Genomic DNA, 17,763 nt, shown 5'->3' with positions numbered 1-17,763 from the left:
CCCTCAACAAGGACAGATGCGGAGTGGGTGGATAAATACTCCAGCTTCCCCATCCCTTTGTGGGCTGGGGATTAACCCAGAGGTGTAGTCTACACTGCTATTCAAAGTACGGTCCCGATTTGGCAGCATCAGTAGCACCTGGGAGTTTGCTGTATGCAAATTCTTGAGTCCCGCCCCAGACCTGCTGAATCAGACTCTCTGGAGGTGGGGCTCTGGAAGGTTTCAGAAGCCTCTTCAGGTGATTCTTACACACATTGGAGATTTAGCAACTCCATTCTACTCCACTTCCCAGAGCTCACTGGTGAAGCTGAGCCCCACCTGCCCAGTGCTACAACTTCACTGGCTTTCTTCCCTTTGCTGGTTCACATCCACACTCCCCTGACAATACTTCCCGACGTCACCTCCAAAATACATGATTTGTACTCAAATCCTTGTCTGAGGGGTCGGGGGGCTTCAGGGGAAACCCTGCCTAGGACAGACCCAAGTCCCTCCACTTCCTCTGGCATCTTCAAGGTTAAGGCAGGGAGACATTCTGGACGCTGATGGTGAGAGTGAGTTCTGAGAGGTACCAGGTCCTTCTGTTCTGGCCCAGAGGGCCAAGACCTAAGACCTCACAGGCAGGGCTACCCCACAGGCAGTGCACCGAGAGTCATAGCTCAGAGGCAGTTGTGCACTCCTATTTATACCCACTTTTAATTACATGCAAATTAAGGTGTGAATTATGTGGCCATTTCTAGAAAAAGGGTGGTGACTTCCAGGTCATCAGGTCATTGCCACGGAAGGGGGCAGTGACTTCTGAGTGTTGGCATGGCAATGGTAAACTGACATGGTGCACTGGTGGGCATGTCTTATGGAAAGTTCCTTCCATCCAGTCCCTGTTTTAGCTAGTCCTCAGTTTGGTCCAGCATCCGAACCCTGCCTCTGAAGTCAAGTCCCACCTCCTACCTAAGACCCCTGACTGGCTTTTCTTCTCTGTCTCCTCTTCTCCCTTCTTGCATGACACTTCTGGAAAACATTTTATAGGCCAGCCACGGTGCTAAGGGCTTCCCATGCGTCCTCTCATTTAGTTGCTGCAAGCATCTTCCTGAAGCAGGTGCAGCCAGAGATGCTTGGCCTGGCTGAAGTGGGAGGAGGAACAGAGAGCTGGGTTGGCCTGGGGTCCCCAGCTGGGTGCTCCAGCAGTCCTAGGCTCCATTTGAATCAAAATACAAGAGATAGGACTGATTAGAATGTCTCCAGTCACTTCTGGTCTCGAGGCAAAGCGATGTCCCCCCATCTCTTCACCTAGGCTCCATCTGCTGCTCCCTCACTCTGCATACCTCCCCTCAGGTAGGTGGCCCCCAACACCTCCACGTGGAAAAGGCCCCACTAGCCAAGACCAGGATGGATTCCTATGGCAACTGTGCAGAAGTTCCAAATGAGGTAGGAGGTGGGACTGGACTCCAGAGGCAGGGCTCGGACGCTGGACCAAACTGAGGAATAGCTAAAACAGGGACTGGATGGAAGGAACTTTCCATAAGACATGAAGGAACTTTCCATAAGACATGCCCACCAGTGCACCATGTCAGTTTACCATTGCCATGCCAACACTCAGAAGTTACTGCCCCCTTCCATGGCAATGACCTGATGACCCGGAAGTCACCACCCTTTTTCTAGAAATGGCCACATAATTCACACCTTAATTTGCATGTAATTGAAAGTGGGTATAAATAGGAGTGCAAAACGGCCTCTGCACTATGACTATGGGTGCACTACCTGTGGGGTAGCCCTGCTCTGCAAGGAGCATTCCCTCAGCGGCTGCTGCGCACTGCCGCTTCAATAGAAGTCGCTGTCTAACACCATCGGCTTACCTCTGAATTATTTCCTGGTGAAGCCAAGAACCCTCCCGGGCTAAGCTCCAATTTTGGGGCTCCCCCACCCTGCAGCACAAAGATAAGACAAAGCTCTCCTGCCACCATTTCTGGGCCTCTTGCTTCTTGGCTGGCCTTGGCCCCTGGACCAGCCACCTGCCCCTTCCCTCGACAGACATTGGGCTTTCACTCTCCTCGGACCATCCTCAGTGTCCCTCCTGTTTGCCCCTCTCCACATCTTCGCTCATCCTCTGCGTGCTTCTCCAGCCATGAGGAGGAAAGGGAGCCAACATTTGTTAAGAATATTCCAAGTGCCAAGCACTGTGCTAGTCTTGACTTAAATCTACTGCCTCTCCAAACGATGAGGGGGATGTTTTTATACCCATTCAAGAAGAGAGAAAGCTGAGGCTTGGAGAGATGAAGGGACATGACAAATGCCACACATCTAGCAAGTTACAGAGCTGGAGTTTTAACCCAGGTTTGTCTGTCACCACACACACAACTCCAGAACACCGTTGTGCCCCTACTGCCCAAGAACTCATGCTTCTTTCCATGGTGAGCCCTTCACTTGGGTTCCCAAGCCCGCCATTGCCTACACATGCTGTGGCCTCATCTCTTCATTGACTTTCACATCAGTGCACCTCCAAGTTCTCTCCACCCACTGGCTCCTTCTCTGCAGCCTATACACGTGTGTACCATTCCTCATCCTATGTGTGTACACACACACTCACACACCCTTCCTCCTTGAGCCTCATCCCTCACACTTTTCTCTCTCTCTTCTTTATATAAAATGTCAGGAGGAAAGTCCCCATGAAGAGAAAAGAGTGAAGACTAGAATGCAAGAGGTTCTGGGGAGGCAAAGAATGGAGGAAAGGCATTTGTAGGGGGACTTCCTTCCAACAGGAACTTTATGGAGGCCAAACCCAGTGGCCTTTTTCAGACCTCTTCTTTATCCTCTGCAGTTAAAATGAATGACCTTGATTTGTTCTATGATTCTGGGACAGGGTGGAATACTAGCCTGTACTGAGCACCTACTGTCCACAATGAGTTCATGGTGGCTTTCTTTCTAGTCCTGACCATTGTGAGATGGGTATGGATCTCCTCATTTTACAGATGAAGAAATTGAGACTTAGAGTGGCCCCATTCAGCATCAGAAAGATGCCCAAAGGGAGAATCAAGATGCAAACCCAAGCTGGCCTGGCCCCAAAGTTCCACTGAGATTTCTCTCATAAACTGGCCTCAGTCATGTGGCTCAGCCCCGAGGGGATGTGGCAGGTGCCCAACCTAAGAGTAATCTTTCTCCTTTTACTGTTTTATTTATTCACCTAAAGGCCCAGTGGCCAAACCCATTTAATTTCTTTCAATATGTATTTGTGTTTTGCCTGCTTTCAAAAGGGCCCCAGCAGAGGCCAAAGGGAGAGAGAGGGAAAAAAGGGCTGGACCTGGCTCCTTGCCTGGTTCTGTCCACCATCAAACTCAGATGAGCACTGAAGCCTGGTTACTCTTTCAGAATCAGTTGCAGAAAGCATGTCTGGAAACTGGATTTGGCGGAAGGGGAGAGATGAGCACTTTTGCACACTTACTAGGTGCTAAGCCTTGTATCAGAAACTGAGCTTTGCTGTGCATTCCATTCTCACAAGATCACATGGAAGGAAGTATCTTCCCATTTTATTGATGAAGAAACTGAGTCTCAATGAGGTGAAGCAAACTGCCCAAGGTTACACAGCTGGAAAACGCAAGGACCAAGCTTTGAATGCAGGTCTGAGCTCTTCACTGTATCATGCCTCCACCCTAAGGAAGGATTCTCTCCTTAAACATTCTTACACAGGGGCTTCATTTCACACACAAGGAAACTGAGGCTCAGACATGCCCAAATTCAAACAGTGTACTTATGACAAAAATCAAGACTAAAACCCAGGTTTCCTGACTCCCAATCCAGTCCTCCTTCTACCATCCTACTGGGCTTTGCTAAAAGCACCAACTGTCAAGGTCAAGGTTGCTGGAGCCCCAAAGGCTACAGGGTCCACCTTACCATTGGTGGTTACTGAGTCCCTTCTCTTGCCTCTGGGACATTCTGCTCCTTAATCAGTCTAGACAGAGAAGAGAACAGAAGTAGGCAGGGTGGTAGACAGAAGTCCCTTTAATCCCCAAACACCCCCTAGAAGAGATCTTGGAGAGAGCAACAAAGCCCAGTGCAAAGAAGGGAACCCCTTTCCCTCTCCCATCCCTTCTGTCTTTGCTTGTGTATCCTTGGTGGGTCACCTTAAGCAGCCAAAAAACTTGGGGAGTGTCAAGGAGCGCAACTGTCCCAAAGGAATTGAAGAAGCCAACAGAGGCTGCTACCTCCTGCACATTGGTGCCTGGGTTTCTCAGGAGGACCTGACAGGATGATTTACAAGTTGTATAAATATAACTCAGCAGCCAGCGGCCCTGCCTCAGCTCAATGAAGAGCATCACTCACTTTTGAGTGGGAGACTGCAGCAGGGGGCCCCTTGCCCACGGGGCTCTCAGAAGACTTCAGGTGAAGGGTTCATGAGGGGGAGGGAGAAGTTTCCCATGTCATTCTACCCTTTGTCCAGTACTGGACAAAGAGAAGAGCCTCAAGGAAAAGGATGCCTTCCTCTTGACTATTCTTCCAGCCCCCTTTTTGTAGATGTCTGTGCTCTGGGCTAAATCCTCCAGGTTGTAATGTCTGAACCTGGTGCACAGTAGGCATGCAGTAGAAATTCACTGTACCCAAGCCTTTCTGTGGCTGTAGCTCGGTGCCTTTGCCACACAGTGGGTACTGCTAAGTGTTTGTTGGCCAGAATTGAGCTCAGTGCATCAGGAATCCTAGAAACTCTAATCAGCAGCTCTAGTTTCCACTCCAGCCATGACTTGACATACGGTCTCTCTGAGCCTCCGTAGCCTCCACTGTCACATGGGGAAAGTACCTATACAGTTGTCTATAGTGTTGGATGGGGAAAAAAATTAGATGACAGGTGGAAATATGATTTATATATATAAAGAGTAATGTATTGCCATTACAAGGGGCTTTCATATGCATTCTCTCCACTATTAATATTAAGAAGACCTTCCATAGGTCTGACTTCCATTCTGCCTGCTGTAGTTTGGTAAAATAAAGATCTATGTATTCCAGGAGACATAGGCTAGTGCAGTCAACACTGGCATGATGCTCCTGGTCAAAAGGAATGTGGAGATGAAAATAAAGCGTGTGTTTTCTTTAAAAAATAATTTCCCTCACTTTCAATGCTGTTCAGAATAAAGAGTATAATTTGCTTGACTGCCCTGGCCCATCAGCTTATCATGGAGGCCCTAGCAACTCTGAGAGGGAAGGATTATGCAAATAGAAAATCAGCTTTCAAGAAAGTGGGCTAATCCAATATTACCAAGAGGGCTGGGTTTGAGAGGAGAAGAGGAGGCAACTGAGATGGGTGAGCTATGGAGAGAGTCAGCCAGTTCCTGGAATGATGTGGAGTAAAGAAGTTGGCTAGAGAGTGTCCGCTTGCCGGCAACTGGGCCAGGGTTTTAGGAAAGGGGACCTGGTCTCCATGTCCCTGGTACTAAAAGATGGAGGAAGAGGGGATTAGGCTAGCGGATGGAAAAGTCTTTATTAAATTATTTGCGGCTGGGATGTCTCCTCCCCTGTCTCAGAAATATAGCCAGATGCTGAGAGGCAAATATGGTACCAGGAGGTAACGGCAGCAGCTCAAAGCCTTCCCAGTGAACCTCCGCAAACCAGCAGGCCCCGATCCACTGGGAAGGGCAGATCGTGGATTCAGAATGTCAGACCAAGGCCTTTCCTTCCCCCTTGGGAAACATCCAGGAGAAGCGCACAGGGCACCGCCAGGGTGGTTTCTGAGTGAGGCTGCCCCTTGCTGAAACACGGGAACTATCAGCACCACGGACAGCTCTCAGGGCTAGCCCTGGGAGCCGGCTCCCTGGGTGACCTGAAAACAAACGTTAGGGAGACAGCTGTACGCTTTCCTTGGGGAACTGGAAGCCTATTGTACCCTAAGCCCTTGCGGCTCCAGCAGTGAAAGCAAACAATTAAACAGGCAATTAGAATTCACTTTAATAAATGCTGTAATTTAGGAATCACAGGGAACCATTGCAGTGCAGTTGCGTCTCAGTGCAGAAGCATCTCACCCAGACTTGGCAGTTGAGGAAAGATTTCCAGCCTAAAGGGGGGTAGGAATTACCCTAGTCATACAGGAGGGCATATACAGCAGGCAAAGACCCAGAGGTCAGGGAGGGCATGGCTAATTTGATGAATAGAAAGAAGCCCCATTGCATGGCTAGCCCATCAGGTGGGAGGGCCTGGGTTGGGGCTGATGAAAGATGGGGTGCAGGGTGGGCAGAGGCCAGATTCTGTAATGCTTTGTAGGACATGGAACAGAGCTGCACTCCATCCTGAGGCCAATGGCAAGCTGCTGCAGGGGTTTATGCAGTGAAATGACACCATCAGATGTGCATCTTGAAAGTTCCCTCTAGCTACAGTGTGGAGAATGGACTGGGGCTGCACAAGCCTGCACCTCTGGGCAAGTTGGGAGGTAACAGACATTCAGACTAAGATGATGGTGGACTAGAACAGCACTTTGGGACCTCAGGAGGGAGGGGAGGAGCAGGCACATTGAAGAGAGATTTAGGAAGTGGAATTGACAAGACTTGGAGCAAGATGACCTGGGTATGGGGAAACAGTAGGAAGGGGGGTTGAGGATGACTCTCAATGTGTGTGAGCAGGTGTAAGATGCAGAGAGGAAGAGAGGAACACAGGGTATAATCAAGAGGGAGTTTCAGGGAAAGAAAGAGGGAATGATTTAGAACAGAGATGAACAGAGCCAAAGAAATGAGAGTGAGGAGTGTGGAAGAAAGGGAGGGCCATGAGAAGTGAGGGAATGAGGAAGTTAGGGGCATGATGGCAGAATCAGGAGAAGGGATTTGAGCCTTTATTTTGTCATCTGTGTGTCCTGTGAGGATGTGTCCATGTCTGTCCCAATCACAGCATTGCAACAGGCAGAGGGCACATCTCTCTGCACAAGACCATGGGCAATATTGGGCTTGACAAAAACCATCCTGCTTGGATGGGAGAAAGCCCCCACAAGCCCAGCAGGGGCATCAAGGTGGGTGAGTAATGAGCAGGTACCCAGGGGAGTGCAGAGTGAAGTTTGGCTTTAGATTGCCATGCTCTTGAGGCAGGCTTAGCCCCCTCCTCCAAGCCTCAGTTTCTCACTCTGTAATCCAGGTGCTGGGACACTTCTTCATGCACATCTCTACAGAGGAAGGGGCTGGAGACTGGAAGACCAGATCTGGGCAGGGCCAAATTTGTCACTTTCGCTGGGGTCAGTGTATTTCACCTTGTGGCTTCAAAGCACCTATCCCTTGACAAAGCCTGAAGGCAGATAGGCTGTGTGAACTAACCCCTTCATTCTCCAGATAGTCCCAGCCCACAGTGCTGAGGGCCCAGTGTAAGAAGGACAACGTCACTGGCTCAAAATAAGTGCTGGATGAATGGAGGGATGGATGGATGGATGGATGGATGGATGGATGAATGGATGGATGGATAGAAGAATGGGCAAACAACTGAAGAATCACCATGCTCTTATAGGCTATAAGCATTGACAAAGTTTCTGGAAGATTCCAGAAGTGGAACAGAGCCACCAGACACTTGGCTTGGACAACCTATGTCCAGGAGTGGCACAGGCAACAGCCTATTTAGTGGTTGATGAGGAATTTCAAGTCCATCAGCCACAACCTGAGAAGGCCACCTGACAGAGAGATACCCCTTTGGGAGCAATGGCTTTCAATGGCACCTACTAGACTAGAAAGGATGAAGACAGCTGACAAGAGGGACCAGGGCCCAGGGACAAGTTCAGGCAGGAGGTCAAGATCCAGTGAATGGGTGGGTAGAACTAAATAAGGTTAGGATTAGGGTTAGGATTATGTTTTTGAATCTAACTCTAGGGTTAGGGTTAAAGATACCTAGATCCAGTGAATGTGTGGATGGAGCTAGATAAGGTTAGGGTTAGGGTTAGGGTTAGGGTTAGGGTTTTGAGCCATTCGCTGTATTCAGATAGAGGTCTAGATCCAGTGAATGGCTCAAAAAGAGGGAAATGGGGGCCTCTGGACTTCAAGGAATGACAAACTCTCTCCACTTCACATCTGCCTGAGCCCTCCCCAACTCATCTCTCACTTCTCAGCCTGGGGTTAAGAGCAGAAGCACTGGGATCATCTGCTTGGGCCTAGTTCAGGCTCCAGAACTTACTACAAGCATGAACTGGGTAGAAGCACCTAAACCTCAGCTTCTACATCTACAAAATGGTGATAATCATAGAGCCTGTGTCCCAGGGTGGTTTGAAAGATTAGAGATCACGTCTAAAATGCTTAGCGCAGTTCCTGAGACAATGAAAGTGTCCAATCAGCACTGAGGATTAGCCCCTCAGCCTCACCTTTGCTCCTGCAGAATCTCCTGCCTGAGAAGCCCCCACTTTCTTTCCACTTTCCCCTGACTTGATCCACCTTTCAAAGCCCAGCTTAAAATCTGCTGTTTCAGAAAGGCTTCTTTGAGTAACCTCACTCCATTATCTCATTTCTCTCTTTTGGCTTCTCTCTGGAGCCTTCTAGGAAGCAGGCGCCCAGTGACTGTGCGGGGTTGTTCCTGTCAGAGGAAGCAGAGAGGGTGTTTCCCAGAGGCTTCATTGCCTCCTCTTCCAGATAAAATGCTACCTCCCCCCATCCCTTCTCTTCCAGATAAAATGCTAGTAATAAAGTCATGTTGAACTGGCCTGGGCCTTTAATTGGTGTTTTGGCAAAGGACAGATTCCCTGCCAAGCATTAAAAGGTTTTAACATTCTCTTTATTGAGCTACTTCTGAAAGCCATGCTGGATCCCAGGGACTGGTAGGATCCAGCCTGGGGGTTCTCTGGGCAGGACCAAGGAGCAACGAAGGGGCCCATGCAGCTTCTGCAAGGCTGATGGGCTGTGGCCCATCCTGGGACCTGGCCCAGTCCTCAAGGGTGTGCATTGGCTCCCCTGCTCCCAGTGAATTTGATTCAAGGCAAACAACAGAAGTTCATTTAAGGACATTAGGGTGCCAGGAAACAGTGTAGCCCATCAGATGACTCAGGAAAGTTTGGGTTTGCTGAGGCCCCCCCTGGCCCTCTGGGCAAGGTGCCAAGGATGCATAGTGTATCTTACAGCAGAGAAACACGGGGCTGGGTAGACCCTGCACATCGGATGAAGATGCTGGGAAACGCAGCCTGCTTGGGGAAAGAGGGACACATTCATTTATTATGGTAGAGTGAGTTCCTAAGCTTGTCCCAATTCCAGAAGGGCTTTTACAAGGTGACACAGGGACAGCACCCAGGGTGCTGGGTGTGAGGGGGAAGGTGAGGAGAGGAGGCTCAGCGTTTCTTCCAATTAATTACTTCCAGGGTTGAGGATCTTCTAGGTATCAAGCTCTGAGCTAAAGGTTTGTTACCTACACTATCTCATGTAGCCCTCATAACAACCTGGCGAGGCTGGCATCATTAGCTTTCTTTTCTAAAAGGGAAGTCTAAAGTTCAGAGAGGGTAAGTAGCTAACTCAAGATATAACAGTGAGGAAATGGCAGAGGTGGGCTGGAACCCATGATCTTTGTACCCCCGGCCCCCGTATATTGTTTCTCAGGCACAAGAAGGAAAAAGAGCAGCAGACAGATTTGGGTGGGCAAGACCAAGTCCTCTCTGATTCCCTTCCTCCTCTTCCACTCAGATCTTATCTGATGTGACCAGGAGAGAAACTCTACCCCAGGCTTCCCCAGCTGTTTGTACTCTTGGACTTGCTGGGGGAGAAGAAATCCGGAAATCACTTGACTTCATAGACAGGCACATAGACCTGGGCCCTGGCCCTGGCCCCTGCTTAGATGTCGACTGCCTCTGTGACTGGAGCAAAGCTACGGCCACCTCTGAAGCACTCACTCTTTCTACCTGTTAAAATGCAGAAGGAAGACTTGAACATCTCTAAAAGCCATTACTACATTCCAAGGTTTTATGAGCATGTCTTTAAAAAAGCCTTGGTCAGGCCGGGTGCAGTGGCTCATGTCTGTAATCCCAGCACTTTGGGAGGCCGAGGTGGGTGGATCGCGAGGTCAGGAGATCGAGACCATCCTGATAACACGGTGAAACCCCATTTCTACTAAAAATACAAAAAATTAGCCGGGCATGGTGGCAGGCGCCTGTAGTCCCAGCTACTTGGGAGGCTGAGGCAGGAGAATGGCATGGACCCAGGAGGCGGAGCTTGCAGTGAGCCGAGATTGCACCACTGCACTCCAGCCGGGGTGACAGAGGGAGACTCCATCTCAAAAAAAAAAAAAAAAAAAAAAACGCCTTGGTCAGAAAGTGTTCCAGCCTATTGACCTTGTGAAATCAGAGAAAACCCATTTGGCAAATATGACTTCATCTTGTAAAGAAAGATTAAGGTGTTTTAATTATAAAGGATATTAAAATAAGAGCTATTGTGTAGTGGGGGCCTACTGCTTAGCCATAGTACCAAGTGTTGTATGAATGTTACATGTGTCCACTTCCCTGCATCCTCATTGCCACTTCTCACATGCAGGCCACCATCATCCCTCATCAGGAAGACTAGGAGAGCCTCTTAGCTCTCCTAGTCAGGAAGATTGGGAGAGCCTCCATATACACACTTCTGTCCTTAGCAGAAACAGCTGTATGATCCCCAAATCTTGTTTCATTATCCTCTTCCTGGGCATCCAGTAAAACTACACTTTCTCAGCCTCCCTCACAGTTGCATCCGTGTGGATGGACACAATGAGTGGAAATGACTTAAGCCACCTCCAGACTGGCCCATAAGAGCAATCCACATGACTCTCTTGGTTTTGTGCCCCCTTTGGATGGTAACTGTGCATATTGAGAGGATGGAACTACAAGACAAAATGAGCCTGGATCCCTGAGTCACTTCATGGAAGAGAGTAGCTCTGGAGATTTGCCAGACTCATATCCAACTTTCCGTGAATAAGAAATAAACCTTTGTTGTAACAAACCATTGAGATTTGAGGATTATTTTGTTAGTGGGGCACAACGCAGGCTCTCCTGACTAGCACACTCCCCTACAGTCCAGTCTATGCACAACAGCCAGATAATTTTTTTTGAAACCTAAATTAGATCATGTCACTCTCCACCTAAGACTCTCCACTAAGTCCTATTATGCTAAGAATAAGATCTACAAAGCCCAATGTGAGAAAGCCCTGTCACCGCCCTGACTTGTGTTCCCCTTTCCTTTGCCTATTTTCCAAGAACACAGTCTAATCCCTTGACAGTGTGACCACGCTCATCCCATCCATAGATACCCTCTCTGCCTGGCATGCTCTTCCCTCAGGTCTTTGCTTGGCTAACTCCTTGTCATATAGAGCTCAGCTTCAATGTCACTTCCCCAGAGGCATCTTTTCTGGCCAGCTGATCTAAGAAGCCCCAGTTACTCTCTATCACATCACCTGAAATTATCTACACCACACTTATCATTATCTGATATTTTCTTGCTAATTAATTAATTAATGGTCTGTCTCCTCACCCCACTAAAGCAGAGATCTTGTTTGTCTTATTCACCATTACATCCTGGTGCCTAGAATAGTTCCTGGCACTCAGGCACTTTATAAATGCTTGTAGACTGGGAATATTAACTTTTATGGCTCTGTGAGTTTAGAGTTACTATCCCCACTTAGCACAAGAGGAAACTGAGGTCCAGAGAGGTTAAAACCAGTAAATGGCAGAGCCGAGATTTCAACCTGGCTTTAACTACCTGGCGATCCTCTTTCTAGTTTATAATTTTCGCCATATAATGTTTGAAGGTAGTTTAATTACATATCTCTTTATGAGACAGCACAAAGAAGAGAGGGAGAGACAGCGATGGGTGACGGGTGGGTGGCCAGGTGCCTGTTAGACACACTGCACAGTGAACACACGGCTGAGTGAGAACATGGAGGCTGCTTCACCAGATGCAGAAGGTGAGGGAGAGGGAAAAGTGGTGTGGACGGGGCAGCTGTACGTGCAAAAGCACTTACTCTGTCTTTAGTAATTTCTCTTCATTCAGCCCTTGGCCTCAGGGGTTCCCAGTCTGTTGAGGGAGATGCAGTCATTTGCTCCTGAAGGAACTCCCAAACTGATGCTGAAGACACAGCCCTGGCACCTGAGAGCATCGTCAGAACATTTACAAAGCAATACACATGTGAATTCCCTGGGGTCTCTGAAAAGCCTGTACAAATTGAACTAAGAGAGAGCAGGAGAGGGAGGGAGGGAGGGAGGGAGGGAGGGAGGGAGCGAGGGAGGGAGTGGGGGATGGAAGGGGGGAGGGAGGAGGGAGGGGAGGAGAAAGAGAGAGACAGAGACACAGAGACCATGTTGGGCACTGGGGCCCCAACTGCCTCCTCCGTGTCCACACCTCTCTCCCCAGGGAAAGGAGGGGAGCAGCCTGCCTCATGGCAGAGCCGGCAGCAGAGTCAGATCCTGCCAATGCCTCCCCTGGCAGCAGGAAATGAGGCTGAAGACACACAAAGGGAAGGTGGTCCAGAGCCAGGGCCTGGGGTGCAGTCTGACTGTTGCCAGCACCCGTGCCAGTGGGTTTCCCATCCACAACTGTGGGCCAGTAGAGGAAAGGGAGGCAAAACCTAGCATCTAGAATCAGAGCAACTGTTGGCAGGTGTTATTTGAAAAACTGAAACTTCTTCTCTTGCTGCATGGCTCTGGGCCATTCCTCTGGCCCCAACCAGAGAGATTTATAGGCACAGCGGGGTGAGAGACACCACGGGGGCAAAACAGCTTGGGCTTCATTCAGGGCGGCCATCTAACTGTGCCGGCTGAGCTCTCCAAGCCCAGAGAGGCTGCCCCCAATGTCCACACTGCTTTTGCACGTACAGCTGCCCCTTCCCACACCACCTTTCCCTCTCCCTCACCTTCTGCATCTGGTGAAGCAGCCTCCACGTTCTCACTCAGCCATCTGTTCACTGTGCGGTGTGTCTAGCAGGCACCTGGCCACCCACCTATTGCCCATGATCCACCCCCAACTGCTGATCCCCTAACTCGGGCTGCCATCACTTTCACCTGAATGGCTGCAGCTGCCCTCAACCTGGAGCCCTTGCCCTGTCCTTACACCTCCCACCCTCCCCTAATCCCAGTTCAAGGACCTCACAGCTAGCAAGCAGATAAGACCATGCTGCTCCTCTGCTTAAGAAGAATGGCTCCCCTTTGTTCTCCAGGTAAGGTTCAAGCATCTCACCAAGGTGAATACCTGATCTGGGTCCTGCCCACCTCTCTGGCTGCTATCCATTCCTTTCCTCCTCCCTGTCTGGCCTCCAAACGCATGATCCAGTTTAATTTGGGCGGGGGTGCCACACTTTCTCTCATTTTAGGAGGCCTGCGCAGGCTCCCAGCTAGGTTCTACTCATTCTTCAAACCTTAGTGTATACTTTTCTTCCCCTGCGAAGCCAACCTTGACCACTCGAGTCTGGCTTGGGGGGGTCCATGCTATGTACCCCTCCATCACTTACCAAGCAGGTCAGGCCTACCTGCTCTGCATCCCAACAGGATGTAAGCTCCTTGGGTGTAGAGAGAACTTGCCTATCTCGTTCAACGCTATATTTAGTCTCAGCAACTAGCACAGGGCCTGACACCCCTGTAGGGGCCCGGTAACTATTTGTTAAGTAAAGGAATGGTGTGGGAATGTTGGAGGAATGAAGGATTTTCACCCAGAGCACCTTGCACCGGAGAACTCGCCATGTGGACTTGTCAGATATTATCTTATCAATATCTGTGTCTTAAGCACCACGGCAGGCATGAAGTGAACACATTGAATGAATCTCTCAAGGCCCCAAGAAGGAGACTGTCTGTCTGCTTGGGTAGCATTTTCCCAGCTCCTACCCTCTGACCTTCTAGAAAGCCACAACAGCGAGCCTCCCTGTTCTAATGGAAAATCCCAGCATCACTTTTCTACAAAGGCAATCTATCAATCACGCCACAGAATTTCACCAGATCACAGAAATCAACCTCCGACAGGCTGCCCAAAGCCCCCGCTATGCTGTGCAAAGTTTTGAGATGTACAGAGGGGTTAATTCTGGCAGCTCGAAATGCGTTGCAGTGTCTCCCTTCAGAGTCCAGTTAGCCAGCATCAGCCAGGCTCCCACTGTGTACACAGCCTCTTGTGGGGAGTGTTGAAGAAACAAAAGGGAAGTAGAGGCAGAAGCTCAGCTTAGGGGACATTTATAACCCCAATAACCTGGTTGCATCTCCTTTGGTGGTGTTACGTGCACATTTCTCTCCAGCACTAGAGGAAAAATCCTCCTTGCAGTGTAGACACTTCTATCCTTGCCAGTGTAGATGCTTTAATCCCTGGAATTTTTAACTGGAGTGCTCACACCTATAGCTAATGGCTCTATTTGCCTGGGCAGACTGCGTGTGTGTGGGGCTGGAGTTTGGGGGAGGAACTAACATTTTAAAGAAGGTACTAAATGAGAGTGTAGATGCTGAAGCCAAACCACCAGAGTTTGAATCCCACTTCAAATCCTGTGGGATCTTGAGCAAATGATTGCCTTTCTGTGTCTCTGTCTCCTCATCTATAGAATGGGGACAATGACAGTACCCACCCCTAGGGTTGCTATGGGGATTAAATAAGCTGATATATGTAAGTGTTTAGACAGCATTTGGTCTATAGTCAGTGCTCAATAAACAGTAGCTTGTTATTGGTATTGATATTATTTGCCAGCCCTTGCCAGAGTGATGTCATTTTCTCCCTGCGATACCCCATCCAGGGGCGTTACTTCTCTCATTTTGCAGATAAGGGAATGGAGGCTTTGACAGGCCAGTGACCTGCCACCTCCGAGGATGGGCTGCTTCCTGGCCCATGGTTCCTGGCTGGGCACTCTCCTGCCACTTTCACCTCTGATGCTTTGAGTGTAAGAGCTCCAGAAGCTCACACTCAAAGGATGGCACCCTCATTCCCTGCCACCACCCAGGGCAACAAAGACACGTGGTGGATGAGGCTGGCAGCAGGTCCCAGGCGGATGAAGGAGTTGATGGCCCAGGGGAGGAAGGGGATGTACCTGCTCCTTCAATCCCCAGCACAGTCCAGGCACCCAGTCTTGCCTCCAGAAGCCTGACAGAGCTGGCCCCCATCCTGGGGTCACCAAGGCTGGCAGCCCCTGTGAAGTGGAAGGTTCACATCCCCTGACCATCTCAAGGGAACAAGAAAACGGGTAGAGTGGCAGTCTGGAGTTAGAAGCACTGGGTTCAAAGTCCAGCTGTGCAGAGATCGTGCCACTGCACTCCAGCCTGGGCGACAGAGCAAGACTCTGTCTCAAAAAAAAAAAAAAAAAAAAGAATTCCAGCTCTGCAACTTTTGGGAATTCACATCACGTCTCTGCGCCTCAGTTTTCTTGTCTATACAATGGAGCTACTTGTAGTTCCTCCTTCCGGTGGTGCATGGAGAGCTCTTAGCTTAGTGCCTGGCTCAGCATCAATAACCAACAAAGATTCGCTCTCTTCTCCCTGAGTCCAAAGCAGCTTCCAAACTCAGATGTGTTGAGCTTCACAGAGTCTGCCAAGAGCCTGGGGCAGGGTGCAGAGCCTGAGGACTTCCCGGGATCCTGGGAGGCTCCCAAGCCTGTTGTTGGTGTGGACAGGGCAGCTCTTTGGTGCCGCCAGGGTGCGCTAGACAGGTTGCCACAAACCACACTGCAATTTAGTGTGAATTAATAAAAGATGTCCCAAGCATGGAGTTTGGAGATTACAGCACATACCGAGCTAGCTCCCTCTGCCTTCTCAGTCAGGCACCCCGTGTAGGGTGTAACTCCAGGGACTCCACAGCAAGACACCAGCTGCCATCTTTGCAGGAAGCCAGAGGGGACAAGACCACAGAAATAATTGCAGAGTATGAGCCTGGAGGTTGGAGTCCTAAGCTCCACATGCATAATTAAGCTGACTTGTGTTAGGTGAAGGGAGATTACAAGATACACGCTCATAGGGCTGTCAGATGCTGGGAAGAGTCAGTGCAGTGATGAGACGGAGTAATTAGCTCAAAAACCAAGGGCAAATCTATAGGCAGGAAGGGGTGGGACCTGAGGCAGCAAGAGTCATGCCAGGCAGTGAGGGGGGCCCACTGGGCACTGAGATGCCATCAGCCTCTTAGTGACATTCACCCAGGAAGCAAGAGGGCCTCATTCACAGACTCAGGGAGGGCCTGGGATGGCAGCATGCTGCCATGCCATCTCACACCCCCCAGAGCTGGGATGCTGCTCAAGAGAAACAAAATATAACTGGGACTTTCACTCCTGTTTAATAGCAGCAAGTCCCAGATGCAAGAACAAAAAGAAGGTCAGAGAGCTGGACCATTCAAGGCCAGGTTGCAGGGTAAGGGCATCTATCTTCACCTCCAGGCCAGAAATGACTGCTGCATTCCCAAGCTTTGGTTTCCCCTTCTTTGTCAAGGTTAATTACCCCTGCCCCTTGAAGGGGAGAGTCATCGGTCAGGAGGCAGCCTGACCTGAGGGTTAATGTGTTTGAATCCTGATCTGACTCTAAGTGGTTTGGGACCTCCTGGGATTCATTCCCTCATAAGGCCCCTGCTCTCAATATTCCAGCTGAAGAGGGTACTCCAACCACCCACCCTGCCAAGCAGCAGCAACAGCAGCAGAGGAAACAGATCCTAGCCCAGTGCCTGGCACATAGTAGGCACTCAACACATGCTTGCTCATTGCTAAATGCAATAGATCTAAAAATACAGGAAAGAAGGAAACAAAAATATCAGCTGGGGAGACTGGATGCCTAGACAACTCAGAGAAAGCACTACATGCTTATTAAAGAGAAAAAAAATGAATTCATCTAATTTGTAGGATGCAAGATAAAGCCACAAAAAATCAATTGCATTCTTACATCCCAGAGACCCACAGAAAATCCAATGAAAAAGATCCCATTTATAATAATAAAAAAACAAATACTTGAGAGCTCTTTTAATTTGCTACACAAGCTATTTGTTTAAAGAAATTACAAAAACCCAATGGAGGCTCAATATTAGGAAAAACATCAACATAATTCATTACATTAGTAAATTAAAGGAGAAAAACCATATGATTATTTCAATAGATTTTTAAGGAGCATTTAATTAATTTTTCTTTATAAAAATTCTAGGTGAAATTGGAATAGAAGTAACCTTCCTATTCATAACAAAAAAGAATATTTATCAGAAGCCAGCAGGAAGTATCATATGCAATGTTAAAATTATAAATGCATTCCTATGAAAACTAGGAATAAGACAGGGAAACCCTTTTTTACAAGCATTCTGGAAATTTTAGACAATGGAATAAGGCAAGAAATTATAATCAGTTCAATAAGTATAGCCCTACCAATATTTATATAGCGTCAGGCACTGTCCTAAGTTCATTACATGAGATGAGGAAACTGGAGCACAGAGAGGTTAAGTAACTTGTTAAAAGTCACACAGCTTCTAAGTGGCAATGCTGGAATTTGAATCCAAGTGATCTGGTTCCAGGATATACATTTTTCTACCTTAAAAATGCTGTCTCTCAGGCATTGAGAGGAGAAGTATTATTATTATTATTATTTGCAGATAATATTTTCACATCATAATGCAAAAGATCAAAATAAAAAAAATCTATTAGCACTGATAAGTGTCAGTAAGATGTCTGCATAGAAGATCAATGTGCAATTACCAGTTTCCTTTATTCCACCAGGGCAGGGGCCTCTGTGGCAGCATCCAGCACCAGGCCTGAGACACAGAGGGCTCTCAATAACTATTTGCTGAAAGATGAAGCAACAGGCTCTACGTATGGCACAGTTTGGAAAGGCCACATAGGTCAGCAATGCAGCTGGACTTGTGCAAGGGATCCATTGTTCCGGCATTGAGTCCACTCCTG

The 17,763-nt window shown here is 48.8% G+C and overlaps 1 protein-coding gene across 3 annotated transcripts in view, besides 1 other annotated feature; it reads right to left on the bottom strand.

Moving 5' to 3' along the window:
- IGSF21 (immunoglobin superfamily member 21) overlaps positions 1-17,763 on the bottom strand; it is a 270,686-nt gene that overhangs the window by 116,225 nt on the left and 136,698 nt on the right. The window lies entirely within an intron of this gene.
- Positions 12,777-13,277: an enhancer, noted in NCBI's record as "H3K4me1 hESC enhancer chr1:18575476-18575976 (GRCh37/hg19 assembly coordinates)". NCBI's record gives its function as "activates a minimal SCP1, AML or CMV promoter by ChIP-STARR-seq in naive H9 embryonic stem cells {active_cell/tissue: H9 hESC(naive)}" and the evidence as "EXISTENCE:reporter gene assay evidence [ECO:0000049][PMID:30033119]".

The sequence above is a fragment of the Homo sapiens genome, chromosome 1 (genome assembly GCF_000001405.40).
Source record: "Homo sapiens chromosome 1, GRCh38.p14 Primary Assembly".
NCBI classification, from domain to species: domain Eukaryota; kingdom Metazoa; phylum Chordata; class Mammalia; order Primates; family Hominidae; genus Homo; species Homo sapiens.
The sequence above is the reverse complement of the archived record's forward strand: the minus strand, read 5'-3'. Positions and strand labels throughout refer to the sequence as shown.